General features: G+C 36.1%; 1 long non-coding RNA gene across 6 annotated transcripts in view; it reads right to left on the bottom strand.

Annotated features, from left to right (window-relative positions):
• LOC105374016 (uncharacterized) overlaps positions 1 to 12,806 on the bottom strand; it is a 137,553-nt gene that overhangs the window by 102,550 nt on the left and 22,197 nt on the right. For 5 of the 6 annotated variants that reach the window (XR_001740824.2, XR_924286.4, XR_001740822.2 and 2 more), the window contains 2 exons: positions 4,384 to 4,546; positions 3,172 to 3,404 (listed from right to left, as the gene is read on the bottom strand). This is a non-coding gene — a long non-coding RNA (uncharacterized LOC105374016). Of the gene's footprint in view, positions 1 to 3,171; positions 3,405 to 4,383; positions 4,547 to 12,806 lie in introns of those variants that run through there. The other variant, XR_007095988.1, reaches the window with a different exon arrangement.

A 12,806-nucleotide genomic window follows, 5' to 3' on the forward strand; every position in this document is an offset into this window, starting at 1 on the left:
GCGTTCAAGATCGCATAGCTAGTAAGTGGTAGAACTGGGAATACAGCACAACCTGACTCTTCAGTCCACATTTTGAACCGCCATATTGTACTCTCTCTCCAACAGTTTTATGAATGCTAAAGAAATCGTAGCACTGGGGAAGCAAGGTACTAGCTCAACTTAAAGATGCTACAATATTGTCTGTATTAGGAAAATTATCTTCAGGAGATGTTGACTCACCTATCTTCCCTTACCCATGATCTACACAGATTAAAATGCACCCACAGTCATATACGTTATCAACATGTAAGGTAGTTTTACAGTGTAATAGTACTATCTCAGAATTGCAAGGACCACAAATAATTTTTAAAAGTTCATGTCAGGAACTCTGAGAGTTTGAGATCTTACCCTGCTTATAAGCTGAAGAGTGAGCTTGCTATAGATTCATGAATACCATAAGAATAAATGAGACTCCTGAGTCAGATACTTGGTTATTTATGGCACAACAGGCAGCATAAGATTTATGTTTGCATTGGTTCCCCTCTCCCCATAGATCTCATGGGGAATCACCAGGAGACAGTCCCAGGTGGATGCTGTGTTTGCAATGTGTTTGTGTCACAGCTGAGAAATCCTAATCTGTAAAAGGGTTACAAGCAAACCTGACCAACCTTTGCCCAGAGGGAGCTCTCGCTGTGTTTTCTTATTTGTATTATGTTGGTCGGCAAACAAATCTGCCCTTTGCCCAGGAGGGTGACACTCTTTCTATCATTTATTGAAAAAATGTCTTGAAAATACATTTTTTGAAAAGACAGTCTGGAATAAGAGCTGTCATCAACTCTGCTCACAAAACATGAATACACACATAAGAGAGACATAAAAAGCTGTTTCCCAACAACGTATTATTTCCTATAATCCATGCTCTCTCATTTGACCCTTATACAAATTCTGTGAGATTAATAGGGTAGGTCTTATAGATTTTCCATTTTGCAGATTTCGCTACCTATAAAATGGTTCTGTTGGCTAAATAAGACTAATATAGCTTCCATAGCCTGAAAATAGTTTAGCTGATGAAATATATAGGTATATAAGAAAAATCCCAAATATACAAATTGAGGTTTAAAGGGATTTAATTCTTATAGCATAAAGGATTAATACAAAAAGAATTTTTCTCCAGTAGTATTTTATATTCTCTATTTTTAGTAGCGACTTGATCAGCAATAAAGAAGTTAAGTATAAGCTTATGTACTAGCAATCACTAGCAATTGATGGAGGAATAGAAATAAGAACAATACACCTCCTAAATTATATTATAATTCAATAGAAAAAGATGATCTGAATTGATGCACTATTTAGGAATATACCTATTACGTTAAGTAGTGTATATCTGTATCAGAATACCATTAAGTGCATAATGTATTATATTCTCAGTTTCTAAGGTGCGTAACATCTAGGTGTGCTCTGTTTGGGGCCGAGGCATCCTTTAATAATTGGCAGAAGTTACATCCCAATGAGGATGGTTTACTCCAGGAATTTCAAAGCAATTTGCTTACTATCAGTCAGCTCTTTTATTTTGACAAGGCAGGTTAGATTTTAGCTTACTTTGAAAAATACAATTAAGTCACAGAAAGTTGGTTGTCTAGTGTTAACAAGCAAAGAAGGGGTATTACTATTGTGTGGTTATGTGGAATTGTGAGGATTGAGGGAAGGATGGCTCACGTTTCTATTGCAGGTCTTACATGATCATTTACTTAGAAGTACTCTTTGGGTTTATGGCTATTTCAACACCAAATGAGATTATCATTTTCCCTTTTAGGGAGCTCTTCCATTATAATTAATGACTCACACAAGTCATGAAAAATGGCCATGATTGTACCACATCTAAGACATGTTTGCAGTAAATTCTGGAAGATTTAGCCTCATCCATCAATTGAATAGGTTGTCCTAAATACACATGATCATTCAAGCCACAGCACCTTTGTGGCAGTTAATAAGCTATCCTTGTTCAGTGGGTGTTTAAATCTTGTCCTTCAGCCAAGTGAAATAAAAGGAATGTTCTCATTAAAAGTCAAAATCTAAAAAGCAAAATTCAATCTGTCAAATTGTCAAGTGTATTAAAGGTGAAAAATAAAGCTGCTAAGACGCTTGGGTCTTTTTTTAGACTCTTGTTTCCCTGGCGAGAAGAGAGAGTCTTTCTGAGACAGGAGTCCTTTTTATACACATTTCATAATAGTTTGTGCCCCTAAACGTAAGCTCTGAGCCAATAACATTCAGGTCCTGTTAACACATTTATACAGGTTTCTAATCAATAAGTGGTTATTAATTTGAAGTACATTTTAGTGACTAGATCTTCAAACCTATCTGCCTCCCACAAGCTTCCAACTCGGATATATATGTCATAGAACAAACGGGAATTCAGTATGAAAGATTAAAATGGACTTAATTCAATGTCTAAGATATTACCTTTATTATGAATTATCCCTTTTAAGATGTTTATTCATACCAACATCTGTAATAATAGTCGTGAGCAGAAATGATGCAAGCAATATATTTTTCTCATGGACAGCCATATTTCAGGTCAGTCCTAAAATAAACTTACTATCAAAATTTTTAGCTAAATATTATCTTTACTGGGGGATGAGGTAGGGTTATCATATAAAATACAAATGGCCACAAATTTGAATTTCAGATACATAATAAATGTTTTTTAGTGTAGATATGCTCTAAATATGGTATGGGACATACTTATACTAAAATATCTATTAGTTGTTTATCTGAAATTCAAATTTAACTGGAGGAATACTTATTTTATCATGATTATTTCTGTCCTAATCGGCAACCTAGGCGTGAGGGGAAACCGTCGTTTGAAGAAGGTGTCTGCTGAAGTCTCAAATAGAAAAGCAGAGGGACACACTTGTTAAGGCAGCTCTGGTAAGGTTTCCTCTATCTTTCCCCAGTTTACCAAACGAAGTGGAAGTCATTGACTAGGGCCAAAAAAAAAAAAAAAATCTCCTCACCACTGTCCCAGCTCATTTATGAAGACATTTTCTTTTCGCCTGGAACTGAAAAAATAAATCAAAGCCCCTTGGAGCCTGATTTATTAGTTTTCACCGAGTGTCATGCAGCCACTAGATGGCAGTAGCAGCCCATCATACCCCGCCCCCTCCCTGGCGTCCTGGAGCCAATTTTCTGTACCTTGTCCTCTTTCTCTTCGCAGGTTTCAGCTTGTCACTTTTCTTCTCCCTCTTTGTTTTCTATTTTTACTTTTATTCGAATGCCAGAAAAACCAGCTGGTTGAAGAAGTCGTGCGGTGCTCCACACGTTTGTCACAGAGGGTGCTGTGACTGAAAAGCCTAACTGATTTTCTAGGCTGCCGGAGCTGGATATCAGGCACCAGGGCACAAGGACACTTGCACTGGAAGCTGTGGCTGGGTAGATAAGGACAAAGAGTGTGATCATGCTTTGCTAAGTCCAGGACACAAGTCTGATTCTCCTGCATGTGAGAATCTCTCTCAGCTGCAGCTAGGTGCTAATCCGTGAACAAGCAGCTCATGGGGGACTTCCCAAAGGTTGTGGAGTTGGAATTTTGGTGTTCCTTTTCAAGACATGAATTTTGTTTTCAGGAAAAAAAAAAAACAAGAAAACGAAAAACCACATTGAGTTACAAAGCTATTCACATGGAGGTATCAGGAATTGATCTTCAGTTTCTAAAGTCCTCCTTAGAGATTTTTAAAGTTGGTAAGTGAGAGAAGAACTTTACATTTTGTAAAAATCTATTTTATTAAAAAGAGGATCTCTTAAATTCTTACTCCGAAAAAGTAGAGGAATGGAGAATACTGTGAAGCAAACGGGTTAAATGAATTCAAATCTTGCTCTCACCAAGGGCATGGCATCCATACGGCGAAGGCAGTCCTACCCTTCCCTCGCTGTTCCCTTTCCCTTCTGCCCGCCCCAGCCACTGCAGTTGTGCAGAAGACCTTGCTATCGATATTGACTGGTACCCTTGTTCCAGAATTCACACTTTAGCTTTTTTTCCAGGAATATAACCTCTTGTATTTAAACATTTCAAAGCAGATTATAAGCTAGGTTTGGATTCTGTTTGCACCTCTTCATTGTTCTTCATTGTCAACCTAAAACTGCATTATTATATATTTTTTAGTTGGGTATTTCCCTCATCTTTCTTCTCTCATTTAGCAGAAAAAAATCAAGTTTAATACTTCTCTAATATGTTAGATATAGATTTCCTGATTTATTTTTTGAGCTTGGGAACAGTAACTTCTGCCAAGGGATTCTTCTCGAAGCAGAATGGGCTTTTTATCTCTGCCACCACTGACAACCAGTTAGTTGCTTAGCAATGATTGGGATTGAATAAGAGGGGGCACTGTGGTGCATACTCTTGGAACTCACTGTGGTGGCCTCAGCCTCCTATTCACTGTAGATTTGTCTTCAACTCTTTCTGGAAAAGGGTTGGGTGGGGGATGGTTCAAGGAAGTCTTATTATGATAAGAATCGTCAATCCACTGGGTGGCTCCTGGATCTAGGAACATGTCAGCTCCCTGGTTCTTCTTGCCTTGGAACATTTTTAAAAAGGAATTTCATATGTTAAATTCTACTTTGTAATTTTCTGTAAATTATTTACTTTATCCTGCACTGGTAATTCATAAGCAAATAGTTTTCCTTGAAGGAGACAAATAAACACAAATTACATTTCAATAATATTTTCCATTGATTAATGTATAATTTGGAATGATTCATTCATGCATTTGTAATTCATTTGTTCATTCATTTATACATATTTTATTTATTTCACAAATATTTGTCTTCTATATTCTAGGCACTGTGCTAAAGGCTGGGGAAACAAAACAAAAGCAAAACAGAAAAATGGATATTGCCCCAAGCTTCATATGATTTATAGTACATTTGATGATTTGTCTTAATGAAAGCTATATATGAACTTAGGGATTTTAAAATTAGGGGCAGTGTAATGTTGTTTTCCTGTCCCTCTGGAATGGGGAAACTAACATTTAATGAAGGTCTCCTATTAATTCATACACGATCTCATTTCTCACTTTTCACTCACGTATGTCATGAATGCATAGATAGACACATGTTTTCCACTTGCAAACAACTATTTATAAACTTTACTTGGTAGAAGAAAATGTCAACCTATCTCCTAATCATACACTTTCTCCATACACTTATTCAACATCAGTTACTGGAAGATTATTCAGTGCCAGATGTGTTGTAGATATGGTGGGCAGAATGGCAGATGGACAATGTCCCCACTCTCTTGGAGATTATATTTATGAGTTTATAACAATTACAGATTAGAACTATGGATTTTACTACTTTAGCATTAATCGCTAGGGAAAAAGACATATCCTTTCTTCTGTGAACAAAGAATTCTTATATCTATATTCTATAAGTTAATGAGAGCTACTCCACAGAGCCAAGAGAATCAGTGTGGAGAGTAATTGGAGACAGCAAGCTCTGCCTACATACGAGTTTCCAAGGGAAGTACAGACTCAGGGTCTTACATCCAAGACAAAATCTTCCCCACTCCTGTACCTCATTTTATACTAAGCATAATATCAAAACAGAAAACAGAATTTACATAAATAAATAGATATTTGTCTACTCCCTTCTCCAAGTGTTGAAAAATATTTGGTATAATGTTTTGAGTGAAGAATAATAATCATTTTGACATTCTATGTATTTAGTGGACTATCAGATAATCTATATTCTCATTTGCTTCTATTGAGACTCTTTTTTATCTATTATCAATCTGTCTATGTGTCTGTTATCTCTCTGTCTATCTATCTATCTATCTAATCTATCTATCTATGTATCTATCTATCATCTATCTATCTAAATTTGGAAGGTGATTACCTAAGACTATTAAAAATCTTCTGGGATCCAGAGACACAATCAAGCATCAAATACTGTACATTGCTTAGCTACACAGGGTGACAAGAAGTTCCCACAAGGAGGCTGGCATAAGCCTTCCTTTCAAAATTCAACTAAAATGCTGATGGGCAATTTTCTTTATAGGCAAAGCATGATGGGGCTGCAGTTTTTATGCACTTCTGAAACCACAGGGGTTTCAATTGTCTCTCAGGCCAAATTCTTCAGAAAACTTTGCTCCTATTTCATCCCCAGACTTGAGTTTGCCAACTCAATACAGCTAAATATAAATGTAAATGTAGATGGAACTTTTACTTCTTAACATAAAATGCTTTTTATTTGATTTTCTCTTGATTGCTGCCAACATGAGTTGATAGATACATTGCATTTTTGGTTTCTGGAATTTGTTGCAAATGTTGGAGCAAGGGGTTGATTGATTGGAATAAACATGTAGCAATGGCAACAGCTGTTAAAAAAATAGCTGAACAGGGAATGAAATAATTTAAAATAAACAGTAGTTACATTTATGACATACATACTGCCTGGATATTTTTAATTTTCCTTGCCCTCACTGAAAATGAAACACTTGTGCAGATAGCAGGAAAATAACTACATTTCAAATTCAAATAGTCATCCCTCAAAAATATGAACCTTCTCTTAGGCCTTTTTCAAAAGTTTATTTCAGTGTCTTTCTTTTTTTCATTAGGCTTAATTTTCTAATAATTGTTTCTCTATTTATTTGGTTTTTTAAAATACAGCTAGTCTTTTGCAAATTTTTTAATTTATTTTCTGTGTGCCTCTCCTTAATATTAACTTTTAAAAAGTAGATAATATCAACAAAAAGTTACTTTGTTATTAATATCTACCCCTGTTTTCATCATATAATCATGTAATGGTGGATATCTGAAATGGCATTTTGGTTTTTCAAAAATTCTGAAACTTTTAAAGGTGGATTTTTTAGTGATCTCCCTATAATATGGAAATACTTTTCCCAAGGACAATTGGGTTTAAACAGTCTGATATGTCACAGAAATTTGCTTTTTGAGGTTGGCAAAAGAAGAATTTCTTTAATATCTTTTTTTTTTTGTTTTGTTTTTTAATGAGTGTTTTCTGGTCACGAAAGAAGAGATTGTAAGAACCAAGGTGGATTTTGGAGACCACATTGTCCAAACTTCCATTATTTTGATCCTGGTCTTGTGGACTGGAGAGGTTGAGGGACTTTCTCCACCTCTCAGAACTCGTGAGGAAAAAAGCCAGGTCTAAAATTCAAAGTCTAAGCTTCAGTGACCAGTGACTTTTTAATATTTTTTTAAAGTGGCTTCTCACTGTATGATAGCAACCCAAAAGATATGATTTCTGCTCCCTAAGATTTTACTCACACATTCATGGCCTTGAGCACTCAGAAAAAAATAAGAGCAGGTTTTAGAGTTTTAGATCTTAATTATCCCATTCACTTCTCCTCTTCCCAGGAGACAAGTTGGATTGTCATTTCTCTATTACTGACAAGGAAAGTGAGTTACAAACAAAAGAGTTAAGAAGTACAATACAACACTTAACTTCTGATTAAGGAAAAGCTTTGTCTGAAAAGGTCCTTTGTAAATCTGTTGTTTGCATCTCAGAATTTATTTCTCCATAGAAAAGTGAAGTTATATGTAACGGTTGAGTTCCTAGGGAAAAGCATTCAAAAATTTTTATTTTATATAGCTTATATCAGAATGTAGCTCTTAATGAAGACTAATGTGGAATACATACACATCATCTTTTTTTTTTTTTTTTTTTGAGACAGAGTCTCACTCTGTCGCCCAGGCTGGAGTGCAGTGGCGCCAACACTCCTAAGGGACACTGGGTTCTGAGTTCCATCATGAGGTGAAACTGGGTGCACAGAATATTGTTTATAGGTCTGTAGGGGAGGAAAACAGTTTTTTCCTTAATGACCATGAGCTCTTAGGTGTAACAGACCCCTGTAGCAAAAGACAGATTAATAAAAAAAAAATACAAAATAGTTTATTAATGTGGGCAGCACGTGTGACACAGAAGAAGCTTTGATGAAAAGTAACTCAAAATGGTGGCTTAGAACTCAACATATGTAGCTTCTTAAATAGACAGCAATAGATTTGAAAAGAAATGACAGGACAAAAGAAAACAGTTTTGAGCTTCCAAGGGTACAAAATGGTTAAACAGCAAATATAGTGGAAGAAACCAGTGGAGTAAGATTTGTTTGCAGGTTCCTCTGGTACTGTCTCTGGGATAATAAGAGACAGTATTGTCTCTGGCAAAAAAGAATTTCTATCTGGTCTTCAGGCAGAAAGTGAGGAGAATGGGAGGTTAGGGGGAGATTTTCCTTTGCCATTTCCTAACTGCCTTCAGTTCAAAAATAATTTTTATGTCCAAGAGGCATATTTTGGGGTTGTTGGAGCTCAGAACCTTATACCCTAAATGTGGAACTTTGACATACGAAACTGAGAAACCTTTCAATTCTCTCCGACATTCTCCCGCTTCCTGTCTCTTGGTCCTCTCTTTTCCAAAGCACAGGATGAAGTTGTTCGGTGAAATTCCCTTATCTGCGGGAAGTGAAATTCCCTTATCTGCGGGAAGTCTGGACTCATCAAAAAATGAAACCATTACCTCTGGTCCCTTCCCTGAGTTTTCATAAACTGAACTCATATCGCAGGAAGAAGAAAGACTGAAGTTTGTCAACACACCTGGACAGACTTTTGTTATAATTCATTGCCTGCCCTGCAGGCCCAACAGGGTTTGTCCCAGGCCATTGTATGTTCTTCAAGCCCACTGAATTCCCCTAAAAATTATTTACCATCCCCCTAAAATGACCCACATTTTTCCATCTCCCTTTCCTCTAAGACTTAGGGCATATGTTATATAGACACTGGAATATAAGTCAATCACTTTGGGATTCTCCCCTGTGCATGTTGATAAATTTGTTTGCCATTTTTACTATGAATCTGCCTTTTGTCTGTTTATTTTTTTTTAGCAAACCTTCTGAGAGCAAAGGGGAAGTTTTCTCTTGGCCCCTAAGGGGGTGACATACTCTGGTTTCCTTCAGGGATAAAATGCTATACAATGTAGTCTCTAATATGTTCTTTGGGACATAATTGTGCATATTTATTCTTTACTCCCATCCTATTCCTTATTACATTTTTTTCCCCTAAGATTTTTCATGTACTGAGGCTTCGTCCTGCCTCCAACAGAGAGTCAAAGAGGGTGAGGTGAAGGGAAAGCATGGGATTTTAGATTGGGATCAGTGGAAAGAGGGATTATGTCACCTATATTTTAGAGGCTCAGGAAGGGATTTGCCTAAATTTGGAAAGGCTTGAAGCTTATACATTTTGGAGGGTTCTCTTTTTAAAAGAAATGTAAACAATTTTTTAAAACTTTTTAAAATAAATACAAAAAAGTTTGTATGCATACAAAAGTAGATTAAAAAGTATATATTTATTTAAAATGAGAAAAAACAAATTATAGATTTTTAGAAGCTGTGAAATACCACAAACATCACAAATCCCGCCCCCCTAAAAAAGAACCCTCAAAAATCGAATTTTTATAAATGAGTATATTGGCATAACTCTAGACTGGTACTTCAATGTGCTGAGAAGTCTTATAAGCTGCCTCAGAATCAAGGTTCCTTCAATCTTTTTATCCACCCTCCACATTTCCCCTTGCCAAATGTGGGGAGGAGCTCTCTTTGGAATTTCCTTATCTGACGAAGAAAAACTTCTTTCCAACAGAAATGCAATTGTCTTGAAGGTCCTCTCTAGCGATCTCACTGAATAACTAGGAAAAAAAGTCAACCACTGGAGAAAAGAAGAGCCTGGGAGTCATCAGTACACCCAGACAAACTTTTTCTCTATTCTCCTTCTGCAGCTCCAAGAGACTACCTGGGGCACTTTATCTGCATAAGACAACCTTTGCTCCTGTGCAGTTCTGTTCCTCACCTTTCCATAATGTCTGCTTTTGCCTTTGTGCATCTATCCCCTATGAAGAGACTACTTAACCATCAACCATCCGGCTCCTCTTTGAGTTCATTTTTGTGTGCCTCCTGTGCACACGTGCATATTAATACATTTTGTATACTTTCTCTCCTATTAATCTGCCTTTTGTCAGTTGATTTTCAGCTAATGTTTAAAAGACAAAGGGGAGGTTTTTCCCTTGGACCCTACAGCATTTTATATGACAATGGTTTTACAATATTGCTTTTAAAAAAATCAAGACTAAAAAGATAATTTAATATTTCCTCTATCATTATTGATAAAAACTTGTTAAATTAATATTTGGGGCACACTAACATGCAATTTCACATACAGATGTGCTGTAGTTTATAGTGCTGTTATGGGTTTGTGACTTCAAACACAAGGATTCTATACAATTCATTTTATGTGGCTCCCATTAAAATGTTTTGCCCATTTGTACTTGTATATAATGCATTATTAAATATATTCATAACATAATAGAACTTTCACTTTGACTAGAGGTTAATGAGAACTGAGTTTTTTGCTTATAACTTGACATTTCTGATGATTGAAAAAATTTTCCACGCACTAGCTGCTGACACAGTACCTTTCAAATACTTTTTCTCTCATACTCATCATTTATTTTTGGTACATAGCACAGGGGAAAACATTCATGTAGCAGTATGTGCTAGGGAATCAATACAAGAGGTAATAAGAGTGTTCCTGGAAGCCATTCCCACACTGGGGTAGCTAGCAACAACTTATCATGAAGGGAAATGACTATGAAACCACATAAATAAATTCCTCTGAATTTACACTAAATATAAACTCAACCAGATTTCTCTTTTGCTGGATCCCCAAATGGGTGTAGCTGCTGCAAACCATTTCAATGGGATATATGATAGGGGCAATTCAGAGTGGAAAGAATAAATGCTTTAACAGACTATGGTTTAAATACCTTAGTTTTGCAAAGTTTACAACAACATCTGATCATGTGATCACATTGTTGGCAGCCTGTGCAAGTGATAAATCTTGAGATTGAAGTTTTAGTAGCTTTATGGTAAATCTGCCTAAAAATGGCAAATTGACATTTTTAATGAATGAAATTTATATGTAGTTTATTGTAGATTTAACATAGACTAGATTTAAGGTAAGCTGATAAAATACATTGAGTGAAGTGTTAATATAAATTTCCAACTTTTGTCTAGAAATTAAGATACTCTTAACACAAGATGTTTATGAAAATTCAGGAAAAACTACATTTTTATTTTGATACTTTATGTATTTTTCTCCTTTCTCTCTCCATTTTTCTAAAATAAACCCTAAAAATATTTTACCCCAAAATATACTTCTTTGTCATATGTTGATATGGCTAATCAGAGGGTCTGGAGACAGAAATAACCCTGAAAATTGCCTTTTGTGGAGTAGACTTGCATTTTTAGAAAAAAATATGCATCAATAAAATAAACAGCCTGGCTTTCTCAGAAGCTACTCTCCCTATCCTGATGTAAGAAAGATTAACTGAGAATCTGACACCTTTGCAAAATCTGGTGGAGAAACATTTACCATAGGCTACCAGATATTCCTTTAGGGGGATGATACCTGTGAGGTTTCATCTGCGTCACAAGACCACATTTGCCCCATGCTTTTCCTCTTCTCTCCCTTTTATATCCTATCTTAGCACTGTAACCCGTCATGCCATGCTCCAAACCCCTATTCCTTCTGTTCCCTGAAGATGGTATAAAAGCATCAACTATCTGGCCATTTCTTTGAGTTTTTAATATTTACATGACTCCTGTGCCTGAATGCACATTAATAAAATTAGCGTATTTTTTTTTGTCCTGCTAGTATCATTTTTTTTTTTTTGCCCTATCTAGTATCAGTTTATTTTATAGACTCAAATTACTCAATCTTAAGGGGAAGAATTTAAACTTCTCTACCCTTCCTTCTTTCCTTTGAAACCACCCTTGCAAAATTATAACGGAGAAAATTGTTACAGTGAAGGAGATCTGAACTAAGCAACTCCATTTTGCTTATAACCTCCTACCTGTCCTTGTCGATTCTTGGACATAGGCCAAACTGACTTTGGGAGGAACTTAGTTTATGATTTATATTTGAAACAAAGACAGTAACAGCCTTTTCCCAAAACAAAAACCCCTCCTTGCCTGGGGACTAGACTGCCTTTGTAGGACTAACAAATTAGCCACAAAGTTAGAAATTATGGTTTGGGAGTCAAGTGGGTGGAGGCTACAAGATTCTGACCCTCCCCAAATTGTTGCTGGGGATAACATCACCATTGTAAAACCTAAGATTAGTACTTGAGATATTTTGCAGACCTTGCATTTGATGGATCAACAGGCACCACCCAAATGGATAAACTGTCTCATCTGATCTTGTGGCCCCACCTAGGAACTAACTCAGTGCAAGAGAACAGCTTCAACTCTCTGATCTCCAACCCAACCAAGAAGCACTCCCAACTTACTGACCCCTACCCACTAAATTGTCCTGAAAAACTCAGATCCCTGAATTCTCAGGAAGATGGATTTGAGGAATAATAAAACTCTGGCCTCCTGCATACCTGGCTCTGCATGAATAACCCTTTCTTTATTGCAATTCCCCTGTCTTGATAAATCAGCTCTGTCTAGGCAGTGGGAAAGGTGAAACTGTTGGGCAGTTACACTTTCCTTTCTCTCTTTTTTTTCTTTTTTCTTTTCTTCTTCTTCTTCATTTTTTTTTTTATTTAAGGACTACAGAAATTTAGAATTAATCATGATCTTTAGTTTATTCTGCAACCTTATCTTTCTTATATGCATTCTCTTATTTTAATATTGTTATTTTATTGATTTTTAAATAATATACTAATATCATGAATGTTCAACTATCTAAAACAAAACCAATAACTCATATAAAACCTGTCCTCATCCACGATCCCAACCCTCAACTTCCTCACATAGATCACCA

Source organism: Homo sapiens, chromosome 3 (assembly GCF_000001405.40).
Source record: "Homo sapiens chromosome 3, GRCh38.p14 Primary Assembly".
NCBI lineage: Eukaryota > Metazoa > Chordata > Mammalia > Primates > Hominidae > Homo > Homo sapiens.